This window comes from Homo sapiens, chromosome 7, assembly GCF_000001405.40.
Source record: "Homo sapiens chromosome 7, GRCh38.p14 Primary Assembly".
NCBI classification, from domain to species: Eukaryota; Metazoa; Chordata; class Mammalia; order Primates; family Hominidae; genus Homo; species Homo sapiens.
Window position 1 is genome coordinate 17,251,863 of NC_000007.14, and position 18,782 is coordinate 17,270,644.

Below are 18,782 nucleotides of genomic sequence, written 5' to 3' on the forward strand. Positions count from 1 at the left end.
GGATTCACTCAAATTATCTAACTCCAGAGCCTAGAGCCTAGGAGTGCTCATTCATGTACACACAAACACACTCTCTCTCTCACACACACACACACACACACACACACACATATATACTATGTATATTAACATTTAAACTTCATAATAACCTTTAAAGTAAGCACAAAAGTGTATTCTATACAAATAGAAAAACCGAGGCACAGAGAGATTAAATAATTTGCTCAAGTTAACACAATTGATAGGTAGACAAACTGGGAGCCCAAGCATTTTAGCTTCAGAATCTGTGCTTTTAACTGTTATAGTCTTTCTCTGTGAAAAATGATCATAGCAAAAACATGCCATTTCTAGCAATAAATATGTGTCTATATGGAGACACATTTGCAGAAATAGAATGTACCACAAATACACTTATTTTTGTTCTGAAGCATCTTTATTTTCCATCTCTATTGCCAATGTTTTTTTTATTTTTGTAGTACCTTTTTTATATATATACTTAAAGGTCTAGGGTACATGTGCACAACGTGCAGGTTTGATACCTAGGTATATGTATGCTATGTTGGTTTGCTGCACCCATCAACTCATCATTTACATTAGGTATTTCTCCTAATGCTATCCCTCCCCCAGTCCCCCACCCCCCAACAGGCCCCAGTGTGTGATGTTCCCTGCCCTGTGTCCAAGTGATCTCATTGTTCAATTCCCACCTATCAGTGAGAACATGCAGTGTTTGGTTTTCTGCACTTGTGATAGTTTGCTGAGAATGATGGTTTCCAGCTTCATCCATGTCCCTGCAAAGTACACGAACTTATCCTTTTTTATGGCTGCATAGTATTCCATGGTGTATATGTGCCACATTTTCTTAATCCAGTCTATCAGGCAGTTTCCCAGTGCTGGCAAAACCTGTACACATTTGTATTACACAAATTCCACATATGTTTCTGATTCATCCCAGTTATTAGTAATTAATATTTTTGCTGGTCTTTACATTTACATTTGGCTTATTTATTCTAAATGAGAATCAAATACAAAGGGAAGATATATTTGGGGTCTGAGAATGGAATTAAGGTGGATGGCAACTTCAATTTGTGAAATGATATTTAAAGAAATCTGAGTTAGAAAGATATATTAAAACACAGTCTATTCACACTCAGATCACATTCACAGTATGAGGTGCTAATTGATAAAAACATGACATTGATGACAACAGATTAATTCCAGATACAGTCTCCATAATATTATGACTAGAGGAGCAGTAATGAACTTTTCATTGTTATTATGCAGTAGAGAGAACCATAATTGTTTCACCCAGTGTGACTATTTGATTAATGTTTGTCATAGTCTCCATTCCCTACGTTCCATATTCACTCAGATACTAGGCCTGTTTTAAATCACTAGTGTATGCTCAATGTTGGGCCCAGAGAAGGCCCTCAATAAATAATGAATGAATGAATGAATGAATGGATGGATGAATGAATGGAGGTATAATAGTGACTGAAATTTAAGTGCATAGAAGCCTAAATTCAATCCCCCATATACCACATATGAAGCCAATGGCACCAAGTTTAAGTTTATTTCACCAGATGGAGGGCCAAACTGGTACAGTAGCTCCTACCTTGATGGAATGGCTGAGTTATGACTAGGAAGACAACTGTGACCAGAGCTGGCAGCACCTGGAGACATTCGTCTCTATTTATTCCCTGATTCAAAATAAAAGAATTACTCCTCAACTGAAGCTATGACCCTGTGGATTACTCCTTCCTCCTTGACACTATTTCTTTAGCTGGCTCCCAAGACGCCACATTCTCCTTGGTTTCTCCTATCACACTCTTCGCTCATTTGGGTTCTTTTGCTGGTTTCCCTTCTTCTTCCCCACTTCTTGTCTTTTCATTCTTTTAATAGTGTCTTTAGAAGTGTAGACTTTTTAAGTTTTAGGAAGTCCTATTTATTATATTTTTATTTTATGGAGTATGTTTTTGGTGCTACAACTAATAAACCTCTGCCTAACCCAAGATCACAAAGATTTTCTCCCGTGTTGTCTTCAAGAAGTTTTACAATTTTCAATTTAACATTTAGGTCTATGATCTATTTAGAGTTAATTTTCATGTATGGTGGAAGATATGAATTGAAGTTCATATGAATTAGCCATTGAGGAAATATAAATTAAAACCAAGATAACTTATCACCACATATTAAAATGGCTAAAATAAAAATTGCTGATTATGTCAAATAAAAAAATAAAAATTGCTGACTATATCAAGTGCTGGTGAGGATGTGGAGCAGCCCATACATTGCTGGTGTGAGTGCAAAGTGATGCTGCCACTTTGGAAAATAATTTGTAAGTTTCTTGCCAAGTTAAACGTGCATTGCCATACGACTCAGCAATCTCACTCATAGTATTTACCCTCAAGAACTGAAAACTTATAGTCACATGAAAACATGTATATGAATATTTATAGGAACTGTTTTTATAATTGCCAAAACTGGAATCAGCCAATATGTCCTTCACTGGGTGAATGGACAAACAGTTGTTCACACATACAATGGAATACTATTCACCAATAAAAAGGAATGGACATTCAACAACATGGTTAACTCTCAAGGCATTATACTGAGTGGAAAAAGCCAGTTCAAAAGTTTACATAATATATGATTATATTATATGACATTCTCAATTATAAAATAGGGTGATGGAGAACAGATCAATGGTTTTCAGGGAAGGAAGAAGGGAGAAACATGACTCTAAGGGGATAGCATGAGAAGGATTTTTGGGGTGGCAGAACTTTTCTGTATCCTATTTTATATGAACCTATACATTTGCCAAAATTCATATAATGATACTGAAAAAATAATGAAAAACTGCAAATCTAATAGAATTCTTATGCTCATAAATATGTTCAGTTGTGCCTTGCTACCTTCTTTTCTCTGGCAATCTACTCATATCTGAAAGTAAATGGAAAACTAGGAATTGACTGATCAAAATTGACGTTACTAATGAAGTATCAGAGATATATATTAACTTGATAAGATTAATTTTAGTAGAAACCGGTTCTTCTACAGATAATTTTAGCTTCATTCTCATTCTTGTATTTATTCATCTCAGAAATATATATTGAGCGCCTACTATGGGCCAGGAAGTATTTTAGGTACTGCGATAGAAGAGTAAAAAGCAAAGTCCCTGTACTCACATATCTTACTTTCTACTGGAGAGAAATGGACCAAAACCAAAACAAATAAAAAACACACAAATAAGTATAGGGAACATCAGGGGTAAGAATTCCTGTGAAGGAAAAAGCAGAATGGAGGGATGGAGAATGAAGACGGTTGGGAGAAAGAGAGAGTTGCTATTTTAGATGCACTGGTCCTGGAAGGGGCACCAAGAAAGTGATATTTATCTTGGCAAAAACGTGACAGAAGATATGGCTATCTAGATGTTCCAGAAGAGGGTAGAATAAGGACTAAGACCCTGAGGGGATTCTGGATCTGAGGGGTTCACAGAACAGCAAGGAAATGAGAGCAGCTAAAGCAGCATTAGGAGGGTAGCTGTGGCAGTGTGGTGGCCACGGGTCAGGTCTCACAGTGTAGTCCATTTAAAGAGTGAGTGAGTGAGATGCAAAACCACTCGCAGTTTTAAAGAACAGATTCATGATCTGAAATGTGTTTTAAAAATAATTGCTCTGGTCTGGGTAAAGATCAGATCTTAGGGTGGCAGACAGATCAATTATGGTGCTATTGAAATTGCCAGAGTAAGAGATAATGATGACTTGAACTAGGTGGGGATAGAGATGATCAATAGGTTATCAAATTACAAAGCACATTAGCATAAAGACTTACATTACATAAATATCTCAGTGTAATAAAAATATTAAAATGCTAATTTTTGTTCCTCGATAGCCTAGTTAGCATTCTGTAACAAGGCATTGATTTTTCTCAGTTTGATTTTATTATGAAATTATTATATATTTTTCTTATTTGCAGTATTAGGTTAAAGGATAATCTATTTTAAGTGGAAAGATACAGCATATATCAAGATCTCTATAAAAATCCAAGGCCATATTTTGGAAGTTATATTAAACATAATAATGACATAAGGAGATATTTGGAAAAAATGAGATTGATGATTTTCTCCTTGTATCTTACTGGAATTATTTGAGGATAAATAGTTTTTTAGAACAAGCAAGACAAACAAGATCCTCCTCACTGCCAAATCAGTGAACTTCTCAATTTCAAAAGAACTCTTTGGCTACTGCCTAGAGCCATTTCCTCATTTTTGATGACAGCAAATGAGTGGTTCATTTTCTGTTTTACAGTGTTATGCCCTTCAGCAAATTCTGAATAAAACTGCTGCACTTGTTTGGTGAGAACTTTTTCAACATTTCATGCTGAACATATCCACTGTTCATAACCAGAGCAGATAAGTTCAAAGACTAAAGGCAACTTTCGAAACACAAATGCAAAATAAAATGAAAATATAATAATATGAAATCTTAACATTGATTTGCCAATGATCTGTCTTGAGTTGTTTATAAATCTGACCATACCTTTGCAGTGCCAACCCAGGCTGGCAATAAGACATTTAGGACCAAGATTCCGAACAATTCATGCATGTTTCACAGGCCAAAGTTCAACTCATCATTTAAAACTTTTACTCAAGACCTTATAGAATCAAGTCATGCTTTCTACAAGTCAAAACATCTGCTGGTGCGCTGTTCACCTCCTTGTAAACATTGCCTAATGTATGGAGAAAAAAAGTCATATAAAACAAGGTAGTCATGATAAATGTTCAACACTGTCAGCATAGTCAAGAGTCACCATTTCTCCTGAATATATTTGGTGCTGCTTCTATTAAGCAAAATACCTTCCAAACATAAAACTCTGCTATTTAAAATTCAGGCATAAAAACATTTTCCTGGGGCTAATTTATATTTAAAATCTCTACCAATGTCTATGTGTCAGCACTCAACCATGCCCTCAGTTTACTGTCAACACACAGATAGACAAAGATCATGCATAGACCATATTGATCAAATTATTTCTTATCAGAGTCTCATTGAAATGCAAAATGGTTAGTACTTAGAAAACCATATAAATCAATTATCCTAATCTGGAACTTGCAGACAGAATGTCAAATGAAATTTTAAGGTCTTATTTTATCTGCATGTGAAATTGAGAGCTGAGAAATATGAGTTTGCTAAGAATATTTTTGGTTTGTTAATGACAATAACAATGCATGCTCATAAAAAATTATTTTGTCAGGTATGAGTAACTTCTATGGACTTTCTCATTTTTAGCTCATTTATAATAACTTCTAATTCCTGACTTAAACTATAAGGTAGAAAAGATGACGTGGGAAAAGAGAAGAGTAGTTCAGATTCAGTGTTTGAATGTGAGGTGTTTGTGGGACTTTCAAGGAGAGATGTCCAGGAAGCACTGAACTTGTGCATGTCATGGTTTAGGAGAGAAATCTGGGCTAAAGATGCAGGTTTGTGTCAAAGGATATTGGTGCTAGATGCAGCTATGTATGTGGAAAAATAAGGACATATGAGGAAGAAAAGCCCTGGGCACACCAATGTTTATGGGATAGTAGAAGGGAAGTCCCTGAAGAGAAGGGAAAATAGAGGACAAAAACAGGGCATGGTATTAAGGCTAGGGAGGAAAGCATTCAAGGAAGGGAGAATGGCCAACAGCATTATCAGAGGATGCTGAGACATCTGTCTCATGAATTTGACTAGTCTAGGTACTTCATATAAGTGGAATCAGACAATATTTTTCCTTTTGTGGCTGTCTTATTTCACTTAGCATATCATCCTCAAGTTTCATCCATGTTGTAGCCATATGTCAGAATTTCCTTTCTTTTTGAGGCTGAATAATATTCCATTGTACCAGTATGCCATGGATAAGAATTTTAATGTGCATCTGGTAACCTAAACTTTATGGAAATACTGTCTAAAAAAGTTATTAAAAACTGAAAATTGAATTTTGATTGAATTGGTTGAAACAATTGGAAGGTATAGAGTCCTGAAACTACAAACTAATTTAGACAGTTTCTGATAAATAACATTTGTACGTTCTCTAGCATAGAACAATTAATACTGGGAGAAACAAAACAATAATAAGAGTTTAAATTGTATGAGTATATGATTATTCAGATAATTTTGGTCTGTCTTCTTAAATGCTGTAACAGTTTTTTTTTTCCTTTTATACCTTTATTCACATACTTATCTGGTTCTTTTTTTTAGAAGAAATTCCTAGACATAGTATTCCCAGGTCCAAAGTTGGGTGTGTGTGTGTGTGTGTAGTTTTTCTTCGCTTGTTTCTAATTTTATGGAGTTTTCTTTTTTTTTTGAGAAAGACGGGTAGTGGTTGCACAACATTGTGAATATACTGATGCCATTGAATTGTATACTTTAAAATGATTAATTGTATGTGAATTTCACCTCAATGAAGAAAAATGCTGTAATAGTGGGAATTTTCTTTAAGCTTGGAATTGAGGTTGTATTTTTACTACAAATGTCATATCACATGTGTTGGTATACAATGCTGATACATTTATAATTAAATGGATTGATTTAATATTATAGTTCATTATTCATAAAAACAGAAGGAAATGAGCCTTTTAGAGATACATTTGCACACATGGTTCTCTCTGCTCAGTATCTTTTCCAAAGTTTGTTCATCCTGCAAGGCGCAACTTATTGCCATTTTCTTATAAGAGTCTTCCTCATCACATAAAAATAAGTGTTTCCTTCTTTTTATACTCTATTATAGCACTTAGCCTCTGCCTGGTTGGGTCTGTTCCCTCTGCTGAACTGAAGGTTTCTTGAGAACAGGATCATGCTCTCTTCCCCTTTGTATTTATCAATCATATAGTATATATACAGTCAATACTAGTTATGTTAAAACTTACTGTATATAAAGCATTGAGCAATGTCCTTTGGTTGACAGTCACTGTTCTTGAAACACTTAGATATAGTCAGTATAGATCGACCATTCACACATGAACTCACTTAAGGACAAAGGCAAAACACTTATCCAATGCAAAATTATAAGCAATAGAATAAGTTGGTTATAAGACAATTATCTGTAAAATACCATGGGTGTGTATCAAATTATTTCTCATGTAACAAAACACCAAACAGAAAGAATTAATGTGTGCGACCAAATATTGAGCCTTAGATGTGGCTAGTTTTAAAGATCTGAGGATAAAAACATGCAAAACAAGACATTCTGGAGAGATAGAAAAACGACAAAGGGAAGTGTGTCATGGGATCCTGGAAAAGAGATTCTTATTAGGGAAGTGGGCAAAGATAATCTGGGTCTCTAGAAAAAGATTAGAAATCTCTGAAGATGTGAATAATGACAAAATGCCTGTAATAGAGTTACAAATTTACTCACATCTCCACTCAGATTTGGAAAGAAAATGTTGTCTCTTCATTTCTCTGTACCAGTCAGATTGTCTCCATGATGTGCACCTACAGGGTAAGGAGAACAAAAAAGGAAAAATCTAAAATATAGTCCCATTTGAAAAACTAAATCCATTAGAGTATTAGTCCCTGGTAAAATGAGCAGTATCTTAGAGGCCCTCTTCTTCAGCCATTATCTAAATGGTATTTGCAGTTTGGGAGCATACAGCTTATTTGACATCACAGGGGCTGTAGGAAGGGGTTACCTCCTAGGGCCTCACTGGTTTGTGCTGTGGGGCAGCACAAGCCAGTGAGGCCCTGATCTGCTGTATGGGCCAAGTGGCGGTGGAGCATCTGTGCAGTGTTCTCGCATCTGCTGAGAAAGTGTAAGCTGGGGGAACTCAGGGTGTGGACATTCTGGACTTGGTCAGGGCACAGTTTTCTTCCTGTTGACTTAGCCCCTCCTTAAGCCTCACAACCATTTGGCTACACAGCCCCTGAGCCCTGACTTGAGAGTTCTCTAGACCAACCTGACTCTCAATTTACTTCCACCTGTCTCCCTCAGGGCACACAGGTACTTGTGAGTCCTATCTCTGACACACAGGAGGCAGATTAAAGGAGGAAGCCACACTCAGGCCTTCTTTTGGTCTACTCTCCACCACCAAGTGATCTGCTCTATTGGGCCAGCCAAATATGAGAGCCTTTGGGGGCATCTCATTCCATGTCACACATCTTCTCCCATGAGGACTTCAGCCTGGAAAGAGGAGATCTAGACACAAGGGTCTCTCTGGCTTCCTCAATCTGCCATTCCCTTTCTCTTCCATTCAACTCTTCGGACCAACCAGACAAGATTTTCCTTCTTCCTTTTTGACTAGAACCTCTTTTTCACAAAACTCTGTGATTAATCTTGCTAGGCCAGCTTCTAGAAGTTTTAAATGGGAAAAAAGGGAATTTAGAAAATCCTCTCAGATATGTAGTTTTCAAGGCTACTGTCTGTCAGCACACTGCCTTTTAGAATATCTTTCCTTCTCTGCGTTTTTGTTGAAATTCGCCTAATTTCCACTAAATTCCCAAGTCCGACTATGGGAAAAAAACATTCACAAGGAAATATAAAAAACATAAGCACATCACATTTCTGAAAATACTATGTCCATATATTATACCTATCCCCCTAGAACTCTATTCTTTCTCTAACTGGAAAAATATATAGATTATACTCCTGTGCTCTCTGAGATTTTCCTTAAGAGAAAACTGAAGTTTGATTTCTGAACTTCTAATGCACTTTCTTTTCATTAATTTTTCCATGTTTATAGATTCTTTCTGGGTAATTAATGTTACATTCCTTAGTTTTCTAATGTTATAAAAATGTTTACTTTTAATTATTAAGCAATTCATATTAATTTCTGAATCTTAAAGATAAAAGCTAACTGAGTTTGTAAAAGCATTTAAATACCCTCTTTGAACTCCATTGGGTTTATTTATTTTCTTTATGACCAGTTCAGTTCACAATGCTGATTTTAATCCAAATATTTGCCTTCCAAGATGCTGGTTGTACCATTTATAATCCATACTGTACCTCTTTGTAGATTACTGCTTGGCATTGCTGCAAAGTGAAAGAGAATTTAATTTTCCTGATGCTGTTTGATTATATTTACCTACTGAAGTTTTCATTGTGAAACAAGCCCTATGAACATTTACAGAATGCATGTTTCCTTTTTTTCTAAACTCTTTCTAGTTGAATTGGTTCTACACCAGTTGTTTTTAAACAGTGGAAATATAAATATATTTTTGTCAAAAGGAAAAATTTGAGAGTGTACATGGATAGCTTCTGAGAAGGTGGATCAAAAATTCAATTACGTGATTTCATCAAATAAAAAAGTAGTAGACACAGTTTTTTCTCTAAGTACCAGTCATATCAATGGGAAAGGATATTTAAACTAGAAGTTATAGACATAAATTCATTTTAATTATTGTGCATTTTCCCTTACTGTTCTATCAGATTACCATGTATAGCAACTTGCCATTCAGCAGTTACTCATTTCTAAGGTTGTAAATGTCGAGAAATACCAGACTATCACCCTGGACTCTGTAGTGTGATTGTTTAATGTGTATGTGGTTTCATACCCAAATGAGTCATTCTGCCAAGAACCTTGAGAATATCGGTCTAGTCTAGAAATTTCAATCTTAATGATTGATACTCAGCTTTGGCATAAGATTATGCATCATTAGAAAGAGGATGTAGGTGTAAAATGGTTCTGTGCAAATACAAACATTATTTACTTAAGCCCACAAAATCTTGACTAGTCATTTCCTCTGCTAAACCTTTCCATTCCCACTATTTTTTAAAATCATCACTTGTATCACCAACTGCTCATCAGTAAACCTCATATCTCTAGAATAATCTCTGCTGTCGTATTTGTATTTCTAGCATATACTATGATGTCTGACTTAGTAGCTTCATAAAAATCTATTGAATGGGCCAGGTGTGGTGGCTCATGCCTGTAATCCCAGCACTTTGGGAGGCCGAGGTGGGCAGATCACCTGAGGTCAGGAGTTTGACAGCAGCCTGGCCAACATAGTGAAACCCCATCTCTACTAAAAATAAAAAATTAGCCAGGCATGGTGGTGGGCTCCTGTAATCCCAGCTACTCAGGAGGCTGAGGCAGGAGAATCGCTTGAACCCGGGAGAAGAGGTTGCAGTGAGATGAGACCATGCCATTGCACTCCAGTCTGGGTGACAGAATGAGACTCTGTCTCAGAAAAAAAAACAAAAACAACAACAAAACAAAACAACCCGAAAACCAAAACCAAACCAAAACAAAAATGTATTGAATGAATACTGACTTCAAGGTACTCAGGAGAAAGCCATCTTGTATGTACCTCTGATATTTTCATCCAACACTTCTTTTCCTCAATCTTTTTCCTAGGTATTTCTACAGCTTCTAGGGTTTTGTCACTGTTCCTCACAATGTTCTCCTATTTTGTCAACCAGTAGATATAATAGCTCTGAATGGTCATATATATGTTACTGTTATCAGCGCTTTTGTTTTACAGGAAAATTGAAGAGAATTGGAGATTTTAAATTTGGGAGAGTGTCTTTGGGAATATCAGTCAATTGAGGATGAATAAATCTGCTAGTGATCATCATACCAATTCATATGAAAGTTTTAAAAAACTGGATATCAATTTCACTGCATGCTACTCTTTGGGGGCTCCAATCTTTAGAAGAGTTTGGACTCAACTTGGTAAACACATTTTGAACCCAGTACACCTCTCAAGAAACATCTTGATGAGCATGATATAGAGGGCATACCTTGCCAAAGAGTAAAGATATATATTTTATCTTTAATGAGAAAAATGCTGATTTTTCATGGGATAAGAACAGGAAATCCTTTTAGAATCATCAAGGGCAGCATCAAAATGGGAGATATAAGATGGAAAGTTTGATTTGCCTAGGAAGAGGAGAGTAAAAATGCTCTTTGAGTTTCGGGATTTGGAAAGAAAAAATGCCCACTGCTTTGCTTGAGCCAAAATCAAGGCTGTAAGACAGCTGATATGTTCAGTTGTTAAATTATAAGCAATTCTATACTGGTTGGTATAATAGCTGCTATATTTACCCTATTCCTTTTGCTGGAAATAGAAGAACTTCCAGTTAAGTAACTAACTGGTGAATGCTCAGGAACTTCCAGGACCCTTTTCCAGCACTACAGCTTGCTTTAGTCCTGTTTCATCTATACCCAGATTGTGTTAGCCCAGCTGGAACATTCTGAGTTTAGGCCTGCCAAACATGAGGTGGTAGAGTTCCTTTCATGGCAAACCAGCACCCAAGATAACAAGCAGGGCTTCAGAGGACCCAGCCCCAGCCACTCTGCCAATGTCCAAGCCTGAGGTCAGCTTCACCCCTTACAAGTCTAGTGCTCCACCAGAGGGATTCTACAGCCCCCCACTTCCTCAGGCATAACTGCCATCATATTTTGAAACCATCTGCCTGCAGAAAACAGCAATCCATGTCCATAGAATTGGTCCACCACAGCCAAGTCCTCATAGCCTGTGCTCTACACTTCACACCCGTGAAGCAACAAGGAGTAGGAAGATCTTCAACCTAAACAGCTGAGGTGACTTTGGGGAACAGCCTACCATGCATAACCCTGGGAGAGGCCTGTATCCACCCAAGCCTAAGTATTACTGGTAACTTGGCCCACAACTTTCCAAGGCTAAACTTTATTCTCTTTGACAGGCAGGGCATTGAGACAGGAACAACGCAGTCTGGACTGAGACATCAAACATGCAAAAGCACCTGTGAACTGTGGAGAGTTAAGATATATTACTTCTTCCTGAAGTGTACTTAGACAAAATATTGAAAAATAAATAATCATGCTCTCATTTGGAAGAAAATTCTTTGCTGTCTCTTTTTTTTTTTTTAACATTGATCAACTTTCCTCTTGATCTCAATAATCTATTGCCGTTTTTGTCTAGCTTTTCACTATAACACCTATTTCTTCATGGTTATTGACCTCCCAAAGATGTCCATGACCTAATCCCAGGAACTTGTCACTATATGACTATATTATGTTACATGGCAAGAGGTTATTAAGGTTGCAAGTAGAATTAAAGTTGTTAATCATCTGACTTGAAAACACGGAGATTATCTTGGATTATTTGCATAAGCCCAATCTTTAAAAGCAGAGAAACTTCCCTGACTTTCTGGCCAGATAGAGAGACTTGACAACAGAAGAATGGCCAGAAAGATGCAACTTGAGAAGGATTCAACCCACCTGTTATGGGTTATATGTTTGTGTCCCTTCAAAATTCATTTCGAAACTTAATCCCTATTGTGATGGTCTTAAGATGTAGGGCCTTTGGGGAAGTGATTACAACATCAGGGCTCCGTCTCCGAGATAAATGGGATTAGTGCCCTTATAAAAGAGGCTTCAGAGAGCCGCACAGTTCTTCAATCTCTTCTGTCAGGTGAGAATACAGGAAGAAGGTGCCATCTTGGAAGCAGAAGATGCAAGTCCTCACCAGATGCTAAATCTGCTGGCACCTTAATTTAGGACTTTCCAACCTCCAGAAATGTGAGAAAAAAATTCAATTATTTATAAATTACCCAGTGTATGGTATTTTGCTATAATAGCAACAATGGACTAGGACACGACTATTGCTGACTTTAATGATGGATGAAGGGGACCATGAACCAAAGAATGTGAGCAGCTTTAAAAGCTTGAAAAGGCAAGAAAATGCATCTTCCCCTAGAGCCTCCAAAAAGGAATGCAGCTCTGCTGACACTTTAATTTTAGCCCAGTGAAACTTGTGTTGGACTTCTAACCTATGGAATTATAAGATAATAAATATGTTTTGTTTAAGCCATTACATTTTTGGAATTTGATACTACAGCAATAGAAAACTAGTATACCAACTATCCCTGCCCCAACCCCACCAATACCAAACGAAATAAGTTTATAATACTAATGACACTACTCTCTTAGGCCTCATTCTCTGAAGCAAAGAAAGATGAAAGCTGTCCCTCTGAATTATCTTTCATTTGGGAGACATTTGTTTTGTTGTTGGTCTCTGGTCACAATAGCCAAGATTTGGAAAAAGCCAAACTGAATAATGCTGTGGTGAATGGGCTTGCAGATATTTCTTAAATATAGTGATTTTATTTCCCTTGGATATATACCCACAGTGGGATTGCTGGATTACCCAGCAATTCTTTCCTAATTTTTTGAGGAACCTCCATACTGTTTCCTATAATGGCTGTACCAATTTACATTCCTATTAACAGTATACCAGGGTTCCCTTTTCCCATATCCTTATCAACACTTATCAGGGATGAGGTGATATCTCATTGTGGTTTTGATTTGTATTTGTATTTTATGATTTTGATTTGTATTTGTATTTTATGATTTTCTTGATGATTAGTGATGTTGAGAACACTTGCATATATAGTATCTATTGGCCATTTATATGTCTTCTTTGGAAAAAAAATGTCTGTTGAGGTCCTTTGCTCATTTTTATGTCTCTTATGGTCCTTTGGCCATTTGTATGTCTTCTTTGGAAAAAATGTCTATTGAGGTCATTTGCCCATTTTGGGTCATTTGGGCTTTTGCTACTGAGTTCTATTAGTTGCCAATATATTTTGGATATTAACCCCTAATTGCATATATGGATAGCAAATATTTCCAATGATTCTGTTGGTTGTCTTTTTATTTGGTTGATTGTTTGCTTGGCTATGCAGAAACTTTTTATTTTGATGTAGTCCCAGTTGGTTATTTTTGCTTTTGTTGCCTGTGTTTTTGTTGTCAAATCCGAAAAATAATTGCCAAGACCAATGTCAAGGAGCTGTTCCCTTCAATTTTCTTCTAGGAGTTTTATGGTTTCAAGTATTATATTTAAGTCTTTAGTCCAATTTGAGGTTATTTTTGTGCATGGTATAAGATAAGGGTCCAATTTATTTTTTTTGCACGTGGAAATCCAGTTTCCCTGTTTCCCCAACATTTATTGAAAATTAATTGACCATATATGTAAGGGTTTATTTCTGAGCTCACTATTCCATTCCATTGGTTTGTGTCTTTTTATATCAGTATCATACTATTTTGGTTACTATAGGTTTGTCATGTAATGTGGAATCAGGAAATGTGATGCTTCCAACCTTCTTCTTACTCAAGATTACTTTACCTCCTCAGAGATATTTGTGGTTCCATGTGACTTCCAGAATTGTTTTTTCTATTTCTGTGAAAAATGCCATTGGGTTTTAATACATATTACAGTGGATCTGTAGATACTTTTGCGTAGTATGGACATTTTAACAATATTAATTCTTCCAACCCAGGAATGCAGAATATATTCCCATTTTGTGTCTTCTTCAATATCTGTCATCAATATTTTATAATTTTCAGCACACAGAACTTTCACATCCTAGGTTAAATATATTCCTAAGTATTTTATTTTTTGATGCTATTGTAAATGTTCTGTTATTTTCACATAGTTCATTTTTAGCATATAGAAACGTAACTAATTTTGTATGTTGATTTTGTATCCTGCAACTTCACTGAATTAATTTATTAGTTTTAAATTTGGGGGGTAGAGTCTTAAAGGTTTTCTCTATATAAGGTCATGTAATTTTCAAACAGAGATAATTTTGTTTTTTCATTTTCTCTTTGAATATCTTTTATTTGTTTTTCTTGCTCGATTGCTGTAGTAGGACTTCCAGTACTATATTGAACAGAAAGTAGTGAGAGTAGGCACCCTTGTCTCAGGTTCCTGATCTTAGGAGAAATGCTTTCAGCTTTTTACCTTTAAGTATGATGTTAGCTGTGGACTTGTCATGTATGGCCTTGTTATATTCCTTTTATACCTCATTTGTTGAGCATTTTTACCATGAAAAAATGAATTCTGTAAAATGCTTTTTCTGCATCTATAAATGTAATTACATGATTTTTATCCTTCATTTTGTTAATGTCATGTGTTGCACTTATTAATCTGCATATATTGAACCATCCTTGCATCCCAGGGGTAAATTCCACTGGTCATGCTGTATGATCCTTTCAATGTGCTGTTAAATTCAGTTCACTAGTATTTTTCTAAGGATTTGTGCTTCAAAGTTCATAAAGAATATTGAACTAATCATTTCTGATAGTGTCTTGTTATTAGGGTAAGGCTGGCCTCATAAAATGAGTTTGAAAGTGTTCATTCCTCTGCAATTTTTTGTAATAGCTTCATAAGAATTGGTATGAATTCTTCTTTAAATATTTGGTAGATGTAAAAAACCTGCACATGTACTGCCTGAATCTAATACAGAAGTTGAAATTATTTTTTAAATTTTTTTTTCTTATATGTTTGGTAGAATTCTACAGTGAAACCATCTGTTTCTAGACTTTCCTTTTTGGGTCATAGTGCTTACTGATTCAGTGTCCTTACTTGTTTTTGGTATGTTCAGATTTTCTATTTTGTCATGATTCAATCTTCATAGGTAGTACATTTCTAAATATCCATTTCATCTAGGTTATAGAATTGGTTGACATAACTGTTCATAGTAGTCACTTACAATCCTTTGTATTTCTGTGGTATCAGTTGTCTGTCTTCTTTTTCATTTTCGATTTCATTTCTTTGATTCTTTTCTCTTTTTTAATCCATCTAGCTAAAGGTTTTTGAATTTTGTTTTTCTTTTCAAAAAACCAACTGTTTTCTTGATCTCTGTATTGTTTTTCTAGTCTCTATTTCATTTACTTCTGTTCTGATCTTCATTATATCCTTCCTTCTGCTAACTTTGGGTATAGTTTGTTCTTCTTTTTCTAGTTCCATGGGGTGTAAAATTAGAATATTTGAGATATTTATTTGTCTTCATGTAGGTATTTATTGCCACAAATATCATCTTAGAAATGCTTTCGATGCATACCATAGCTTTGGTATGTTGTATCTCCATTTTCGTTCATTCAGAAATTTTTTGATATTTTCCATTTTGATCTTCTTTGACAAATTGATTGTTCAGTAGTGTGTTATTTAAATTCCACATAATTTTACCTTTTCCATTTTTTCTCCTATTATTGATTTCTACTTTCAAACCACTGCGGTCAGGAAAGATACTTGATATAATTCCATTTTCTTAAATTTGTTGAGGCTTGTTTTGTAGCCCAACATATAATTTATCCTGGAGAATGTTCTGTGGGCACTTGAGAAGAATGTGTATTTGCTACTGTTAGATAGAATGTTCTGTTTATGTCTATTAGGTCCATTTTGTCTAAAGTACAGTTCAAAGCCCAATGTTTCCTTATTGATTTTCTATCTAGTTGATGCATCCATTGTTGAAAATGAGGTACTGAAGTCCTCTACTATTATTATATTGCTGTTTATTTCTCCCTTCAGATCTGCTAATATATGTGATATATTTGCATATATCACATATTGCATATATCATGGGTGGGCTACGTCCCCACCCAAATCTCATCTTGAATTCCCATGTATTGTGGGATGGACCTGGTGGGAGGTAATTGAATCATGGAGGCAATTCTTTCCTGGGCTGTACTCGTGATAGTGAATAAGTCTCACAAGATCTGATGGTTTTATAAAGAGGAGTTCCCCTGTACAAGCGCTCTCTCTTTGCCTGCTGCCATCCATATAAGACATGACTTGCTCCTCCTTGCCTTCTGCCATGATTGTGAGGCCTCTCCGGCCATATGGAACTGTAAGTCAATTAAACCTCTTTATTTTGTAAATTGCCCAGTCTCAGGTATATCTTTATCAGCAGCATGAGAACAAATACAATGTGCTTTATATATTTAGATGCTCCAATGTTAGATGCATATATATTTACAATTGTTATATTCTCTTAAAGAATTGACTTATCATTACATAAAGATACTCATTGTCTCTTATAACAGTTTTTGACTTAAATTCTATTTTGCCTGAATAAATATAGCTTCCCTCTTCTCCTTTGGTTTCCATTTGCAAGGAATCTTTTTCCGTCTCTTCACTTTCAGCCTATTTGTGTCTTTAAAGGTGAGGTAAGTCTCCTTAATCAGTACATAAATGGGTCTTATTTGTTAAAATTCATTAGACCACTCTGCTATTGATTAACTTAATCTGTTTATATTTAAAGTAATTTTTGATAGGTAAGAGCTATTTAAATCTATTGGCATTTTGTTGTTTTTGGATTGTTTTGCAGATTTTGTTCTATTCCTCTTCTCTGTGTTCCTTTGTGATTTTATAATGTTGTCTAATGGTATGCTTTGATTCTTTTTTCTTTATCCTTTGTGTATCTACCATAGATATTTTTCTTTGTGATTATCATGAGACTTATATAACACTTTTTATTGTAGTATAGTATCAGTCTATTGTAAGGTGACAATAACTTTGATTGCATGAAACAACCCTACCCTTTATTCCCCACCCTACCTACATTTTATGTTTTTTGATGTCACAGTTTACATCTTTTTATATTGTGTATCCATTAACAAATTATTGTGTCATTATTACTTTTAATGCTTTTGTCTTTTAACCTTTATACTTAAAAGTGATTTACTCACCATCTTTACAGTATAAGAATTTTCTGAATGTGACTATATATGTATCTTTGCCAGTAATTTTTATGCCTTCATATGACTTCATGTTACTAATTAGCAGCATTTTATTTCAGTATGAAGAACTCCCTATAGCAATTTTTTTGTAAGGCAGTTCTAGTGGTGATAAACTCCCTCACTTTTGTTTGTCTGGGAGAGTCTTTATCTTTCATTCATTTCCATGGGACAGCTTTGCTGGATAAAGTATTCTAGGTTGGCAGTGTTTCTTTTTGTTTTCGTTTTTGTTTCTGTTTCCTTTTAGTACTTTGAATATATCATCCCACACTCTTATGGCCTGCTAGGTTTCTGCTGAGAAATTTGCTGATACCGTTAGATTCCTAGATTCCTTGGTATGTCACAAGGTTGTTTTTTCTCTTTCTGCTTTCGAATTCTCTTTTATTTTTTTACAGATTATGTGTCATTGAAGACCTCTTTGGTTTGAAGCTGCTTATAAACTTTATATAACTTGAGCTTTATATTCCTGGATATCCATATTTCTTAGCAAATATGGGATGTTTTGAGCCATTATTTCTTTAAAGAAGGTTTCTGCCCCTTTCACATTCTCTCTTCTCCTTCTGTTACTCTCATAATGTGCATATCATGCCACTTGCTGGTGTCCTACAAATCACTGAGGCTTTTGTCACATTTTACTTTTTATTCCTTCAATTGGATAATTTCAAGTGACTGTCTTTGAGCTCACAGATTCTTTCCTCTGCTTGATCAAGTTTGCTGTTGACACTTTCTATTGCATTTTTCATTTCATTCATTGTATTCTTCATTTCCAGAATTTCTGTTTGGTTCTTTTTCATGATTTCCATGTCTTTATTGACCATTTAGTTTTGTTCATGTATTGTTTTTCTGATTTGTTCAGTTTTCTATGTGTTCTCTTGTAGCCCACCAAACTTTCTTAAAATAATTATTTTGAATTATTTGGCAATTCATAGACATCCATTTCTTTGGAATCAGTTATTAGAAAATTATTTATACCTTTGTTGATATTGTGCTTCCTTGATTGTTTCATGTTTCTTGTTCCTTGCATTGATGTCTGCCCATTTGATGGAGCAGTCACCTCTTCTAGACTTTACAGACTGGTTTTGGTGAAAAAGACCTTCACATGGAGGTGGGTGCAAGAATGCCATGTAGGTGGGGTGTGACAATTCCAGGTTTGCTGAAGGCACAGTCTCTGTGCAGGTCTGTCAGCTACGGTCAGCATCAGCAAAGGTTGCAGTGGTCCTCAACAGCCAAAGCTCTGGGTGTCTGCAGTGGTGGCAAGGACCATTGGGATCCTTGATGATAAAGGCTTTTGGGGTCCACTTGATCTCTTTTT

The 18,782-nt window shown here is 35.6% G+C and overlaps 1 long non-coding RNA gene across 2 annotated transcripts in view; it reads right to left on the bottom strand.

Annotated features, from left to right (window-relative positions):
* Positions 1-18,782, bottom strand: part of LOC101927609 (uncharacterized) — a 164,409-nt gene that overhangs the window by 116,951 nt on the left and 28,676 nt on the right. For both annotated transcript variants that reach the window (XR_007060234.1, XR_007060235.1), the window contains exon 6: positions 7,390-7,466. This is a non-coding gene — a long non-coding RNA (uncharacterized LOC101927609). The remainder of the gene's footprint in view (positions 1-7,389; positions 7,467-18,782) is intronic.